Raw genomic sequence first — 17,486 nt, forward strand, 5'->3', positions numbered from 1 at the left:
TCATGATGTCCTGAGGCATCTGTTCTATCTGTAAAAAGCCAAGCTTATTAAGAAGGCACACACACACTCTCTCTCTCTCTATCACACACTCACATACTCACACACACTCACACACTGGTTCCAAGCCTCTCTAAATAACTTCTAAATACATCAAAGCAGCTATAGTACTTTACATATAAGTGGTGGAAAAAGGTACTGGACTTAACATTAAAGATTGAATTCTTTAGATATAGGGTAACTTGAAAGTTAGAGATCACTTTATCATTCCATCACCCCAAAAGGTATTTTTATAGTTTCTACTTCCTCCTCTCCCTCCTCTTTTTCATCTTCCTCTCCTCCTTTTCTGTTTTTTTTTTTTTTTTTTTTTTTTAAGAAGAAGTCTAATCAGCAAGAAAATATAAACTTTCCCCAATTTTTTTTTTTTTTTGAGACAGAGTCTCACTCTGTCGCCCAGGCTGCAGTGCAGTGGTGTGATCTCAGTTCACAGCAACCTCCGACTCCCAGGTTCAAGCAATTCTCTGCCTCAGCCTCCTGAGTAGCTGGGATTACAAGTACCTGTCACCACATCCGGCTAATTTTTTTTTTTTTTTGTCTTTTTAGGAAAGACAGGGTTTCACCATCTTGACCAGACTTGTCTTGAACTCCTGACCTCGTGATCCACCCACCCCAGCGTCCCAAAGTGCTGGAGTTACAGGCGTGAGCCACTGCGCCCAGCCCCAAATTTGTTTGTTTCAACCAAATTTAATCAAGCTACCAAACCTGATGACCTAGAATTTAAGGCCTATGCATCCCGTTTCTTTACTCTGGGGATTACAAGCCCTTCATCAACTGTGGCTTTTTTTTTTTTTTTCATCCACATGATTTCCTTAAAAAGCAGAGACTGCTGCCAACTCTGAAAAGTGGCCCCAAATGTGTTCTTTGTGGGTTTTGCAAAAAGAACATAAAGGAGTGGAGCTGAATCAGCCCAGGCCTGTTCTACTAACAAGGAATCGCCATCTGTTGTAAGATAGTTTCTCATTTTTTTCCTCAAGTTATAGAGAGGGAAGAGTTGTTTTTCACGTGTTTGATAAGGAATCACTTTTAAAGTTTTGCAAGTCCCTGGGCTGAATCTGTCATCTTTCTTCCAAGAGGCATTTGGGTTTCATTCAGGGCAGTGACATTGACACACTGTCCATGCAAATTGCTAACTGCTGCTGTAAACAAATAGCTATCAGACAAAAACAGAAACTAACCCTGGATGTAGGCAAGAGGACTAGAGTTGCTTCCAATCACCAAGGAAAATACATTCCCATTAGAAGTAATAAAACAAGAGCTGTTTTTCTGGCATGAAGAAGTAGGAGAGAATTTTTTTTTTCTTCTTTACTGAATTGGAAGAAAGGAATGAAAACACAGATAATAACCATGGATATGTGGAAGGAGACAAGATGACGCCTCTTTAACTCTGATTCAAATGCTTAGCTTTGGTGATACGCAAAAAGCTACCACTATGTCTCCACGAAGCTGAGTATTTTCCTTGGAGTAGCTTTTTATTTGGACATATGGAATGAAACTTACTTAATATTCTGCAGAGATCTTCCTGGTGTTTCCAAAATGGTGAGCATAAAATTAATTCAAATTATCTTCATACAGAAAAAGTAGGTAAAAGGTCAATGGCAATTAATTTTTTACAATTCATTTTTAATAATTATATAAGAAGGGTAGGATACTTCAGGATTTGGTTGTCTTACTTCATTCATATTCATGACAATTGCATGGAAAGGTTCAGAGTTCCACTTGGGAGAAAAAGGAAAAATGGTATCTAAATATAATATTTTATCATTTATGCTGTGAAACCAAAAACAAACTAGCTGTATAACCCGATTAGCCACAGAAAAACAAAGGCATGGACAATAAAGTGGCCTATTGACCATCCACAAACAAGTCAGCAGTGATGAGTAGAAAGAAAGAACTGAAGATTTCAGACCTCTAATTCTAAAAGGTGCATTCTTCAGTTGCAGCAGTTTTGCCTATCTTTTTCACAGCTGTAGAAAGTAACTTGGTACATTGCATGTCCTGAGACATACAATGTACCTCAGGAAATATTTGTTGAATGCGTGGGCAATAGCAAAGGCTGTAAAAAGAATGGGACCATTAGGTTTGGCAACAGACTTGGTGATTGAGGCAAAAGCAGTTTCAGGGGAGTGATTGGGATGAAAGGTAAATTGCAGTGGGCTGACGAGTGAGACTAGAAGGCAGGATATAAAGGCAGATACACAATAAGCATTGCAAAGTAGTTAAGAGCCCTGTCTTTGGAGTGAGGTTGCCTGGATCTGAATGCAAGTTCTGCCACTTAGTCGCTGAGTGACTCTGTGTAAGTGATTTAATCTCTTTGTGTCTCAGTTTTCCCCTCTATAAAATGAGGTTAACAATAATATCCACTTGATAGTATGTAAACAGAACCTAGCATATAGTAACTACTCAATAAATGGTGGCTTTTATTATTACAATTTTTAGAAATACTTCTGTTTTAACTTTTAAGATAATTGTACATTCACATACAGTTGTAAGAAATAATACAGAGTGATCCCGTACGCCCTTAACCCAGTTTCCCTCAATGGCAACATCATGCATAACTACAGCTTAATATCACAATGATACAGAAGTGGGGAAAGAAGGGTGTGGTCCCTTTAAATGATATCAAAGAGGGGCAAGGCATGGTCTATGGCTAGGGCTCCACACGCGGACATGTGCCCATGGACCTAGACGAGGAGAAAAATTTTTGTTTTCCTGCCCAAATGTTGCATTTTCCAAGATCACCTTGGTCGGCCACACCCTCGTCCTGTGCCTATAAAAACCCCAAGACCCGGCCAGGCGCGGTGGCTCACGCCTGTAATCATCACTTTGGGAGGCCGAGGTGGGCGGATTACCTGACGTCAGGAGTTCAAGACCAGCCTGGCCAATATGGCGAAACCCGTCTCTACTAAAAATACAAATATTAGCTGGGTATGATGGCGGGTGCCTGTAATCCCAGCTACTCGGGAGGCTGAGGCGGGGGAATCTCTTGAATCCGGGAGGCAAAGGCTGCAGTGAGCTGAGATCGCGGAGACCAAGCCATTGCACTCTAGCGTGGGCAACGGAGCGAGACTCTGTCCCAAAAATATAAAAAGTAAAAAATAAAATAAAATAAAATACTGAGACCTTAGCAGGCAGACACACAGGCGGCTGGACATCGAGGGGAGCACATCAGCGGAGGAACACATGAAACACGGGCAGCACACCAGCGGGCCACTGACGGGCGGAACGACATGGGGTTTGTCTGGGGCAGTCGGAGGACAACCTGGGCCACCAAGCGGCCCAACTCCAGGGGAAAACCATCTCCCTTCTGGCTCCCCCATCTGCTGTTTTCTCCGTATTTCAATAGTTTCTCTTTTCAGTCTCCTTTTGCTGGTTCCTCCCCTTTAACCTGACTTCTTAATTGCTGACACCCAGGTTTCAGTCTTTGTTTCTTCTATTGTTTTTTATACCCACTCCCTTTGCAATATCACATCATCTCACTGCTTTAAGTAAAATATGTATAGTTGATGCCTTTTGAATTTATAACTCCAGTCAGACCTTGCTGATGACCTCCAGACTCATATATCCAGCTACCTATTCAGCCTCTCTATCTGGATATCTAACAGGTTCTCAAGCTCAACACATCCAAAACGTAACTCCTGATCCTCCGTTCCAAATCTGCTCTATCCACAGCTGTCCCATCTCTTGGATGGTAACTCCAACTCTGCAGTTGCTTAGGCAAAAACCTTGGCATCATTCTTCACTCCTCGTACTCTCTCACACTCTGTATCTAATCCATTGGCAAATCTTGTTGCCTCTACCTTCAAAATATATTCAAAGTCTCACCACTTTTCACCACATCTACTGCTAGCACTCCAGTGTGAGACACCATCAATCCTCCCCCAGAACACTGTGATAACTTCCCAACTGGTCTCCCTGCTTCCACTCTAGCTCCCTACAGTCTATTCTTACCATACCAGCCTAAGTGACGCCTTTACAACATAGATCACATCACTCCTCCGCTCAAAATCTTTCATGTACTTTTCATTTTTTCAGCGTAAAAGCCAGAGTCCTCATAACAGCCTGTAAGATGAGGCAAAGTCATCTCCTCCGTTTCAACTCTGTAACCTCTGTGATTCAAGTCCTACTCCTATCCCCTTTGTCCCTCTTCTCCAGCCATGCTGGCCTTCTGGTGTTCTCAGAAAACACCAAGTACACTCTTACATTAAGGGCTTGCACTGGCTTTTCTCTGATAGGAATTGTCTTCCCTAGATATTCACTGACTAACGCCCTCACCTTGTCTTTGCTCTAATATCATCTTACCAAGGAGGCTTACCCAAACTACACTGATTGAGTCTGTTCCCCTCAATCCCACTCCCAGTTCTCCTTAATCTTTTTCCATATCACTCATCACCTTCTAATATACTTTATGTTTGGCTTATTTATTTATTATTTTATATTACTCTAATAGAACATAAGTAGCATGGTAGCAAAGATTTTTCTCTGATATATTCACTAATATATCATGCTATAGTACCTAGGGCATGGTAAGTACTCAATAAATATTTAATGAATGCATGCATAAAAGTAAACATTAGACATTTATAGACAATGTCTAAACATGTGGCATATGTATATAGTTGCATACTGTATACAAATAAGTGAGGTAGATTTAAATGAATAAACATGAATAACAAAAACATACTAGTGTGTGAAAAAAAACTGCAAAAAAGTACTGTACTATTATACCAACTACGAAAAAAATTTTAAACCATACAAACAAAAATATTATATACTGTTCATCGAATTACACATGAAAACAATTATAAAAAATAGGCTAGATTGACACCAAATCCAAGATTTTGGTTGCCTGGGAATAGAGGAAAGAGATGCAATCAGGAGGGGTAAAGGGAATAGGAAGGGAAAGAATTGAAGGAACCCTCAACTTCATCAATAATGTTTTTAATATAAAAAAGTTGAAACAAATATGACAAAATATTAATATTCATTTTTGGTGTTGGGAATATGAAAGTTTTACCATTTTCTGCATTTTGCTTTTTTTTTAAATTTTATTTTAGGTTCAGGAGTACATGTGCAGGTTTGTTATAGAGGTAAACTCATGTCACAGGGGTTTGGTGTACAGATTATTTTATCACCCAGGTACTAAGCCTAGTACCTATTAGTTATTTTTCTGCCCTTCTCCCTCCTCCCATTCGACACCCTTAAGTAGGCCCCAGTGTCTGTTGTTCCCCTCTATGTGTCCATGTGTTCTCATCATTTAGCTCCCACTTATAAGTGAGAATATGTGGCATTTGTTTTTCCATTCCTGTGTTAGTTTGCTAAGGATAATGGCCTCCAGCTCCGTCCATGTTCCTGCAAAGAAAATGATCTTATTTTTTATTTTTATGGCTGCACAGTAATCCATGGTAAAATGTGGTATATGTACATTTTCTTTATTCAATCTGCCATTGATGGGTATTTAGGTTGATTCCGTCTTTGCTACTGTGAATAGTGTTGCAATGAACATATGTGTGCATGTATCTTTACGGTAGAACGATTTACATTCCTTTGGGTATATACCCAGTAATGGGATTACTGGGTCGAATGGTAGTCCTGTTTTTAGCTCTTTGAGGAACTGCCACACTACTTTCCACAATGGTTGAACTAATTTATACTCCCGTCAACAGTGTATAAGTGTTCCCTTTACTCCATAACCTGGCCAGCATCTGTTATTTTTTGATATTTTAACAATAGCCATTCAGACTGATATGAGTTGGTATCTCGCTGTAATTTTTTTTTTTTTTTTTTTTTTTGAGACAAGGTCTCACTCTGTTGCCCAGGCTGGAGTGTAGTGGCGCGATCGGCAACCTCCACCTTCCCAGGCTCAAGCATTCTCCTGCCTTACCCTCCCAAGTAGCTGGGATTACAGATGCATGCAACTACCGCCCGGCTAATTTTTGTATTTTTAGTAGAGACGGGGTTTCACCATATCGGCCAGGCTGGTCTTGAACTCCTGACCTCAAATGATCCACCTGCCTCAGCCTCCCAAAGTGCTGGGATTAAAGGCGTAAGTCACCGCACCCGGCCCTTGCTGTATTTTTAAAGATTTGAGATGGGCTAATTTTTAATATTTTTTTAATTTCAAAAATATTTAATTAACAGAAAGAGTGCAGGATAGACAGCATGATTCTGAAAGATATAGCTGCTAGGTATCAATCAATTGATTCAAGCAATTAGCTGGCTCAGTAAATCCTGGATCAAATCTCTGTGTCCCTTAAGATTTTATTTTTTCGCATGTAAATGTTATCTTCCTAGGAATTGGGTCCTGTAAGTTTTAGTTAGGACACTTGGAAGACTATTTAGACTCAGAAATTCTCATTTATTGCTTCCTCTTGGAAACTAGCAATTTATGCTGAGTTGTTTTTATTAGACTCTTACTATCCCCATGACAAATCCCCTTAACAGGAACTCTGGGGTTCTGATTTTAATTAAGGAATCTCTGTATCAATATAAGCTCACTCTCTTCAACTGGTCTTCCCCCACTCAGTACTCTTGTTTGCCAATAAACATCTGTCTGTACACATCTGGAGTTCTCTATACTTTTTCTTAGTCTAATACTTCCAAAGTTAAATAAGTAGCTTCTGTCAGGCTGTTCTTGATTTAAAAGTCACCTCTATGTAAATTCTATTGCTTATTGTGCTTGTGTGTGTGTTTACCTGTAACAATATATTCATCAGATTATGCTAGGCTATACAGGGTAACAGACAGCCCCCAAATTTAAGTGGCTTACAGGAATTGTTTCTTCCTCTTTCACATGACATATTGGTACCTATAGCTTGGCTATAATTCTGCTTTATAGATCTTTTCATTCCAGGATCCAAGTTGAACAAATAGCCCCTATCTGAACATTCTGTTCTCATGTCAGAAGGAAAAAGAGCAAGAGAGCTAGAGCAAACATGCAATGGCTCTTAAAGATTCTTCCTGAACATGGTGTACATCATGCCCACTCACTTTCCACTGGCTAAAGTAAACCACATGGACAAGTCCAACATCAGTGGGACAGAAAGAGATGCCTCTCCCACAGGAGAAGTCACAAGGCAATGGGTGAGGACATATAATCCTCCGAAGCAGGGGTCAGCAAACTACTGCTCCCAGGCCAAATCTGGCCTGTGGACTCTTTCTGTTCCACCCATGGGCTAAGAATGGTTTTTGCATTTCATAAGAGTAATCAAATTTTTTTTTAAAAAAGAAGAGGAAAAATGGAGAAGGAGGAGGAGAAAGAGGAGAGGAAGAAAGAGAAAAAGAAGACAAGGAAGAGATAGTAGCAATGGCAGTGGCGATAGAGACTACGTGCTGCCTGCAAAGTCTAACATGTTTACTATCTATCCTTTCACAGAAAGTTTGATAATCTCTGCTCTTACAATAAATAAAAATGAATAACTGGGAACAATAATAATCTACCACTAGTACATCCCCCAAATTAGCTACCATGACAAAAAATAAGAGAATTGACCTGTAGAGAAATTGATGGCAGACAGCTGATTTTTTTCAAACCTATCTTTTCAGTAAGATTGTATTTAAAATTTCTATGTTGATATATTTGATAGCCCCAGGAACTTAGGTCCAACAAAATAATAAAGGTTTTTTGAACTACATCGAAATTTAAAACTTCTCTCCATCAAGGGACCCAATCAGCAGAGTAAAAAGGCAACCTATAAAATGGGAGAAAAATATTTGCAAATCATATGTCTGGCAAGCAGTTAACATCCAGATTATACAAAGAACTCTTAAGGCCAGGTGCGGTGGCTCACCCCACTAATGCCAGCACTTGGGAGGCCAAGGCAGGAGGATTGTTTCAGCCCAGGAATTCAAGACTAGCCTAGGCAACACAAGAAGGCCCCATCTCTATCATCCCCCAACCAATTTTTTTTTAAATTAGCTAGGCATAGAGGTATGTACCTGTAGTCCCAGCTACTCAGGAGGCTGAGGCAGAAGGATGGCTTGAGCCCAGGTGGTCAAGGCTGCAGTGAGCTATGATAACACCACTGCACTCCAGCCTGAGCAACAGAGAGATACCCCCTATCAAATAATAATAATAATTAAATAATACTATTTAATAAATTATAATTTATTTAATTATAAATTATTGTTAAATAAAACAATAACTATTATTATTAAATAAAACATTTTAAATAAAGGACTCCTACAAATCAACAGCAAAAACAAAACTAAACATCAACTCGATTGAAAAATGGGCAAAGGATTTGAATAGGCATTTCTCCAAAGAACATATACAAATGGCCAACAAACATATGAAAGAGATGCCCAATCTTACTAATAATTAGGGAAATGCAAATCAAAACCATAATGTGATATCACCTTATATCCACTAGGATGGCTGCCATATATATATATATCTCCCAGAAAATAGTAAGTGTGGTGAGGATATGGAGTAACTAGAACTCTTGTATACTGTTGATAGGAATGTAAAATGGTGCAGCTGCTATGGAAAATAGCATAGCGATCCCTCAGAAAATTAAAAATAGAATTACCATATGATTCAGCAGTTCCATTTCTCATATATATACATAAGAATCAAAAGCAGGGTCTCAAAGAATATTTGTACACTCATGCCCAAAACAGCATCATTCACAATAGCTGAAAGATGGAAGCAGCCCAAATGTCCATTATAAGATGACTAGATAAATGAAATGTACAAACATATGATGTAACATTATTCAGCCTTAAAAATTAAGAAAATTCTGACACATGCTACAATATGAATGAACTTGGAGGACATTATACTAAATGAAATAAACCAGCCACAAAAAGACCAATATTGTATGATTTATCTGTATGAGGTATACATTTGAGTAGTCAAACTCATAGAGACAAAAGGTAAAGTGGGAGTTGCCAGGAACTGTGGGGGAGAGGGGAATGAGTTATTGTTTAATGGGTATAGAATTTTCAGTTTTGCAAGATGAAAAAGTTCTAGAGATTGGTTGTTCAACAATGTGAATATACATTACAGAACTTTATACTTATAAATGGTTAAGATGATAAATTTAATGTGTTTTACAAATTTCAAAAATTTTTAAAAAGGTATATAAAAATATAGATGAAACGTATTTCTCAAGTTGGAAAAAATGGTAAATTTTATGTTATGTGAGTTTTGTTTCAATAAATTGTTTTTAAAAGTCACATGGAAGGGCTGGTTTGAGGCAAAAAGGAAAGGTCTGGTTTCAGATATGCTGAACTTGAGACTTTGAAGATATTCACAGAGATGTCTAGAAGATAGCTGGTAATACAAGTCTAGAATTAGAGAGAAACGAAATGGCTAGAAAAAAATCTGAGAAGTGGTCAGGCATGGTGGCTCATGCCTGTAATCCCAGCACTTTGGGAGGCTGAGGAAGGTGGATTATCTGAGGTCAGGAGTTCAAGGCCAGCCTGGCCAACATGGCAAAACCCCATCTCTACTAAAAATACAAAAAAGTTAGCCAGGCATGGTGGTACAAAAAGGTTAGCTGGACATGATGGTGCGCACCTATAGTCCCAGCTACTTGGGAGGCTGAGGCACAAGATTCACTTGAACCCAGGAGGCAGAGGTTATAGTGAGTCGAGACCATGCCACTGCACTCCAGCCTCAGCAATAGAGGGATAGTCTGTCCCAAAAAGAAAAAACAAACAAACAAAAAACAGAGAAGAAAGGCAAGAAAGAAAGAAAAGAAAGAAAGAAGAGAGAGAGAAGGAGGAGGAGGAGAAGAGGGAGGGAGGGAGGAAGGAAGGAAGGAAAGAAAGAATATCTGAAAGGAGAAAGAAAGAAAATCTGAAGGGAAATAGTCAAAAGTTATGGATTGGAGGACAATTTTGGGGGATTAAAGAAAAGCAGTTGATAAAAGAAACAAACTATCAGTATAGGGAACATGATACATCAACAAATCAAATTATTAGTTTACGGAATAAAACTCTGAGCAGGCTGTTTCTTGGTTGCATTGTGAATACATGATTCAAAGATCAGATGAAAATTTCATACCATAACTTTTTTTTTTTTTTTTTTGAGACGGGTCTCTCTCTGTTTCTCTGCTGTCCAGGCTGGAGTGCAGTGGTGTGACCTTGGCTCACTGCAGCCTCGACCTCCCAGGCTCAAGCGATTCTCCTGCCTTAGCCCCACCAAGTAGCTGGGATTACAGGCAAGTGCCACCATGCCTGGCTAATTTTTTTTTTTTTTTTTTTTTTGTAATTTTAGTACAGACGAGGTTTTGCCATGTAGCCCAGGCTGGTCTCAAACTCCTGAGCTCAAGCGATCTGCCTGCCATGGCCTCCCAAAGTGCTGGGATTACAGGCATGAGCCATCACGCCTGGCCCATACCAATTTTTTAGCTGCAGTAAACTACCTGCAGTGTTCCCTACACTACACAATTCCATGGGCTTTCCTTCTTTCTTTTGGTTCATATAACAACATCCTACGAGCCTATTCATTTAAACATTATATATTTTTATAGTATATATTTAGTCCATATACATTCTATATATTTGTAGACTTAGACTATAGACTAAATATATAATATATATATATACTAAATATATATATTATATATAGTAAATCAAGCCCAGTGAGGCATACTTTATAAACAATAAGATGCACTCATTTTAGCTGTTCAGTTCAATGAATTCTGACAAATCTATACACCAATCAAGATACAGAAAATTTTGATTCTCCCAAAAGAAGTTCTCTCATGTCCCTTTGTACCCCTTGCTCTTGAAACCACTGATCAGTTTTGTTACTGTGGATTTGTTTGGCTTATTCTATATCATTTAAATGAAATTATATAATATAAACTCTTATGCTTGGCTTTAATACTCAGCATGTTTTATACAACTCTTTTTGTAGATTATTGGTAAAGTCTTTTGGGTAAATACCTAGGAGTAGAATTGCTGGGTCACGTGGTAAGTATACGTTTAACTTTGACAAACTGTTCTCTAAGGTAGATTTATCATTTTACAGTGTTACTAGCAATGTAAAATAATCCCAGTTTCTCAACATACTTACCAAAGCATAGTATTCTCAGTATCTTTAAGTTTGGTCATCCAAGTGGGTGAACTGGTATCTTACTATGGTTTTTTTTCTGACGACTATGATGTTGAACTTTTCATGTGCTTATTAGCCATTTGTTATTATTATTATCATTTTTGAGATGGAGTCTTGCACTGTCGCCCAGGCTGGAGTCAGTGGCACGATCTCGGCTGACTGAAACCTCTGCCTCCTGGGTTCAAGTGATTCTCCTGCCTCAGCCTCCTGAGTAGCTGGGACTACAAGTGCACACCACCAAGCCCGGCTAAATTTTGTGTTTTTAGTAGAGACAGGGTTTCACCACATTGGCCAGGCTGGTGTTGAACTCCTGATCTCGTGATCCTCCCTCCTCGGCCTTCCAAAGTGCTGGGATTACAGGCGTGAGTCACTGCGCCTGGCCCCATTTGTTACCTTTGTTTGTGAAATGTCTACTCAAATAAAGTGGCCATTTAAAATATTAGCATGGCCGAGCACAGTGGCTCATGCCTGTAATCCCAGCAGTTTGGGAGGCTGAGGCGGGAGGATCACTTGAGGTCAGGAGTTCAAGACCAGCCTGGCCAATGTGGTGAAACCCCGTCTCTACTAACAATATAATCATTAGCCAGGCATGGTTGCAGGTGCCTGTAATCCTAGCTACTCTAGAGGCTGAGGCAGGAGGATTGTTTGAACCCGGGAGGCAGAGGTTTCAGTGAGCCGAGATCCCACCACTGCACTCCAGCCTGGATGCAGAGCAAGACTCCATCTGAGAAGAAAAAAAAAAGAAAAAAAATTAGGTTGTCTCCTTATTATTAAGAGTTTTTTATACAGCTGGATAAAAGCCTTGCCAGATATATGTACTGTGAATATTTGCTCCCACTTTATGGGTTACCTTTTCATTTTCTTAATGGTGTTTTTGAAGAACAGAGGCTTTATCTTTTGATGAAATCAAATGTATCAATAGTTTCTCTTATATTAAGTGATTTTGTGTACTATTAAGAAATCTTGGCCTATCCTAAAGGCCTGGAAAATTTTCCCCATATTTTCTTTCAGAAGTTTCATAGCTTCAGATTTTACATTTAAGTCTGTGGTGGTTTTAAGTTGATCTTTTTTGTGAATGGTATGAGGTGAGAGTCAAGGTTCATGTTCTCCCTCACATGGACATCTAGCTGGAGACCTAACACCCTCTGCTGAAAAGACTATTTTTTCCCCCACTGAACTGCTTTGAACCCTTCATTGAAAATATTTGACCATATATATGTGGGTCTACTTCTTGATTCCCTATTTCTTTTTTTTTTTTTTTATACTTTAAGTTTTAGGGTACATGTGCACAATGTGCAGGTTAGTTACATATGTATACATGTGCCATGCTGGTGCGCTGCACCCACTAAACTCGTCATCTAGCATTAGGTATATCTCCCAATGCTATCCCTCCCCCCTCCCCCAACCCCACCACAGTCCCCAGAGTGTGATATTCCCCTTCCTGTGTCCATGTGATCTCATTGTTCAATTCCCACCTATGAGTGAGAATATGCGGTGTTTGGTTTTTTGTTCTTGCGATAGTTTACTGAGAATGATGATTTCCAATTTCATCCATGTCCCTACAAAGGACATGAACTCATCATTTTTTATGGCTGCATAGGATTCCATGGTGTATATGTGCCACATTTTCTTAATCCAGTCTATCATTGTTGGACATTTGGGTTGGTTCCAAGTCTTTGCTATTGTGAATAGTGCCGCAATAAACATACGTGTACATGTGTCTTTATAGCAGCATGATTTATAGTCTTTTGGGTATATACCCAGTAATGGGATGGCTGGGTCAAATGGTATTTCCAGTTCTAGATCCCTGAGGAATCGCCACACTGACTTCCACAATGGTTGAACTAGTTTACAGTCCCACCAACAGTGTAAAAGTGTTCCTATTTCTCCACATCCTCTCCAGGACCTGTTGTTTCCTGAATTTTTAATGATTGCCATTCTAACTGGTGTGAGATAGTATCTCATTGTGGTTTTGATTTGCATTTCTCTGATGGCCAGTGATGATGAGCATTTTTTCATGTGTTTTTTGGCTGCATAAATGTCTTCTTTTGAGAAGTGTCTGTTCATGTCCTTCGCCCACTTTTTGATGGGGTTGTTTTTTTCTTGTAAATTTGTTTGAGTTCATTGTAGATTCTAGATATTAGCCCTTTGTCAGATGAGTAGGTTGTGAAAATTTTCTCCCATTTTGTAGGTTGCCTGTTCACTCTGATGGTAGTTTCTTTTGCTGTGCAGAAGCTCTTTAGTTTAATTAGATCCCATTTGTCAATTTTGGCTTTTGTTGCCATTGCTTTTGGTGTTTTAGACATGAAGTCCTTGCCCATTCCTATGTCCTGAATGGTAATGCCTAGGTTTTCTTCTAGGGTTTTTATGGTTTTAGGTCTAACGTTTAAGTCTTTAATCCATCTTGAATTGATTTTTGTATAAGGTGTAAGGAAGGGATCCAGTTTCAGCTTTCTACATTTCTTTTCAGTGACCTGTAAGTCTATGTCCATACCACACTCTCAATTATTATAGCTGTATAATAAGCTTCAAAAGGCAGTATAAGTCCTCTAGTTGTGTTTTCTTTTTCAAAGCTGTTTTGAGTATTCTAAACACTTTGCATGGCCTTATACATTTCAGATTCAGTGTGTCAGTTTATATAAAAATGTATGTTGAAATTTTCATTGCGATTGTGAGAAGTCTATAGATCAATATTTAAAAAAAGTAGAGATCATGTCCTTTGCAGGAACATGGATGAGCTGGAGGCCATTATCCTTAGCAAACTAACACAGGAACAGAAAGCCAAATGCTGCACGTTCTTACTTATAGGTGGGGACTAAATGATAAAAACACATGGACACATTGAGGAGAAGCACACACAGTGGGGCCTTTCAAAGGGTGGAGGGTAGGAAGAGGAAGAGGATCAGGAAAAATAACTAATGGATACTAGACTTAATACCTGGGTGATGAAATAATCTGTACACCAAACCCCCAAGACACAAGTTTACCTATGTAACAAACCTGCACTTGTACTCCTGAACTTAAAAGTTTAAAAGATAACATATTAACAATATTGAGTTTTCCAATCCAATCTAAAAACAAGGCTTTCACTTCTAGTAATGGCTACTTAGCTTGGTATCAGTCTTCTTGGGCTGCCATAACAAAGTACCATAGACTGGGCTGCTGAAATAACAGGAATTAATTTTCTCACAGTTCTGATGGCTGGAAGTCTGAGATGAAGGGGCCTGCATGGTTGTGTTCTAGTGAGTGCTCCCTTCCTGTCTTCCTGGCTTACTGATGGCTGCCTTCATGCTATAACCCCACATGGCAGGCAGAAAAAGAGAAAAACAGACAGATCTTTCCCTCTTCTCATAAGGCCACAGGCCTATCAGATTAGGGCTCCCTCCTTAGGACATCATTTAACCTTAATTACTTCCTAAAGACCCTATCTCTATATACAGTCATACTGGGGGTTAAGGGAGCAACATATGAATTTTGAGGGATACAACTCAGTTGATAGCAAGCTCCTATTGGATAAATTCTAACACAGATAGCAAGTTTCAACTCTGAGCAAAATATAAAAATCAACGGCCTGAAGGCATTGGAGAACAATCGAAAGCAGGCAGAAACTAGGGGTGTGGTTTACTCTTTTAAAAAATGGATAACACGGAGTAAGTGTCCTGTTTTGTGACTTTCTGTCTGAGGGCAGTCCTCAGTTGCAGACATAAAAAGCATCTAAATATGATAGAAACCTGCATTCTTACTGGCTTGAAGAATGAAAAAACAAAGTTTGGGTCACCATAATGCCTGGAAAATAAGCAGTGAAATTTCTAAATAAAGAGTCAGAGTGGTATAGCCTTATATTCTATGTATTAACTCTACCCAAGTATCTGGCCAACCCCTGAATTCCACATGCACGGGGCCACCTCCAAGCTGTCCAACAATGGCTAAAACAACTGGCAAAATATTTCAATTATTGCTTACTACTGGAAAGACAATTTGGGGCTTGAGCCTGCTAAAAAAACAACAGATTTTTATTTAAAGATATTCTTCAGAGGAATACAACATAATTTAAAATCTCTTCAATTTGTCATTTAAAATATTCAAGATACTAGCCAAAATTATTAGACATATTAAAAAATAGGTAAACAAAAACCATTCTTAAGAAAAGAGGCAGTCAATGGAGACCAAACCCGAGATGTTCCATATGTTGTATTTAATTAGCAAAAATTTTGAAGCGATTATTACAACTATGCTTAAAGATACAAAAGAAAATATTCCTGAGATGAATAAACAGATAGAAAATCTCAGCAGATAAATTTTTTAAACCAATAAAAAAGGGCCAATAAAGATACTAGAATAAAAACATACAATATCTGAAATAATATCATTATAAAGTCTTAAACACAGATTGGGAGGGCAGAAGAGTCACTGAATGAAAAGATAGATCAGTAGAAATTAACCCACTTAAGGAAGATAGAGTTAGAAGATTGAGAAAATAAAGGAACATAGTCTCATGAAACTACATATTTAGGATCAGGAAGTTGGATGCTACCTTCTCCCTTAGGGAGAAACTAATTCCTCATAGTTATTTTTACAGCATTAAAGTGTTCACAGGTTATTGCTCTGTCTGTAAGTACAGAAATGGTAGTAGAGAATCAAAAGAGCAGCAACATGACTGATCTAATGGATTCTATTAGTTAATGGAATCTAGTAGCCAACTGAGTAAGCAGGTTAACAAAACATTTTCACCTGCTCCATGAGACTCTGACTCTGGATCAACAACCTAGGTCTGTATTTACCAGATAAAACAGTATGTGTTAACAACACTGCTAGGCAACATTGCTTATGATAAAAATAATCCCCAGCTGGTAAAGTACATCTAGGCTTAGAGAACTATAAATACCTGAGAGAAAGTAATAGTTTAGGCTTTCCTGAGTATAGTGACCCTTGTAACTGGTACATCTCTTTCAGTGACCCCAAGGTCTATATATGAAATGTAAAAATAGATATTGGCTCTTGTGGAAAACTGAGGCTTCTTTGGTAAGGGAGATTGTACCACCCACTGATGTAGATCTCATCTCCTTGCATTTGAGCTGGAGAAAAAATAGTTCCTACACCTATGAGTACACCTGGAGAGAAAATACCTCCTGGAGCTAGCTGCCTACTGCTACAGGGACTGCTCTAGTAAGGACTCTTGTTTAGAGAAGCTACCTTGCTGGCAAGCTAAGGTTCTTGTTCTATGCCTTTTTAAGTAGACTAGTACCAAACATAACCTGTGGTGGTCTCATGATTCTGAATATTTACTTGAACCTACAAAGATAGCATGGTGGCCACTGGAGATGAGCAATTAAAACAGTGGTTTCCAAAATGAGATTTGTGATTCTCAGAGGCTGTGCAAGACTATCTCCTGAAGCACAGCAAATAAAAAAAAAAGGACTTTTACTTATATTCATTTTTTAATCCCATATTTTAAATTTTTGCTTTATACAAAAGTTGTATGATTGATATGGTTTGGCTGTGTCCCCACATAATCTCAACTTGAATTGTATCTCGCAGAATTTCCACGTGTTGTGGGAGGGACCCAAAGGGAGGTAATTGAGTCATGGGGACCCGTGTTTCCCATGCTATTCTCATGATCGTGAATAAGTCTCACTAGATCTGATGGGTTTATAAGAGTTTCCACTTTTGCTTCTTCCTCATTTTTCTCTTGCCACCTCCATGTAAGAAGTGACTTCTGCCTCCTGCCATGATTCTGAGGCCTCCCCAGCCATGCGGAACTGTAAGTCCAATTAAACCTCTTTTCTTCCCAGTCTCAGGTATGTCTTTATCAGCATCATGAAAACAGACTAATACAGTAAGTTGATACCAGTACAGTGGGGCATTGCCGAAAAGATACCTGAAAATGTGGAAGTGACTTTGGAACTGGGTAACAGGCAGAGATTGGAACAGTTTGGAGGGCTCAGAAGAAGATAGGAAGATAAGGGAGAGTTTGAAACTTCCTAGAGACTTGTTGAATGGCTTTGCTCAAAATGCTGATAGTGATATGGACAATAATGTACAGACTGAGGTGGTCTCAGATGGAGATGAGGAACTTGTTGGGACCTGGAGCAAAGGTGACTTGTTATGTTTTAGCAAAGAGACTGGCAGCATTTTGCCCCTGCCCTAGAGATTTGTGGAACTTTGAACTTGAGAAAGATGATTTAGGGTATCTGGCAGAAGAAATTTCTAAGCAGCAAAGCATTCAAAAGGTGACTTAGATACTGTTAAAGGCATTCAGTTTTATAAGGGAAGCAGAGCTAAAAGTTTGGAAAATTTGCAGCCTGACTATGCAAAACCAATTTTCTGGGGAGAAAAGAGAAACCAATTTTCTGGGGAGAAATTC

General features: G+C 38.9%; 1 protein-coding gene and 1 long non-coding RNA gene across 14 annotated transcripts in view, besides 1 other annotated feature; one reads left to right on the forward strand and one right to left on the reverse strand.

Annotated features, from left to right (window-relative positions):
* WARS2 (tryptophanyl tRNA synthetase 2, mitochondrial) overlaps nt 1-17,486 on the reverse strand; it is a 109,457-nt gene that overhangs the window by 14,724 nt on the left and 77,247 nt on the right. The window lies entirely within an intron of this gene.
* On the forward strand, nt 1,466-17,348 carry WARS2-IT1 (WARS2 intronic transcript 1). Its single transcript, NR_126447.1, has 2 exons — nt 1,466-1,593; nt 16,915-17,348. It is a non-coding gene; the product is annotated as a WARS2 intronic transcript 1 (long non-coding RNA).
* Nucleotides 14,394-14,594: a silencer, noted in NCBI's record as "peak395 fragment used in MPRA reporter construct". NCBI's record gives its function as "represses an SCP1 promoter by STARR-seq MPRAs in K562 erythroleukemia cells {active_cell/tissue: K562}" and the evidence as "EXISTENCE:reporter gene assay evidence [ECO:0000049][PMID:32103011]".

The sequence above is a fragment of the Homo sapiens genome, chromosome 1, assembly GCF_000001405.40.
Source record: "Homo sapiens chromosome 1, GRCh38.p14 Primary Assembly".
NCBI lineage: Eukaryota > Metazoa > Chordata > Mammalia > Primates > Hominidae > Homo > Homo sapiens.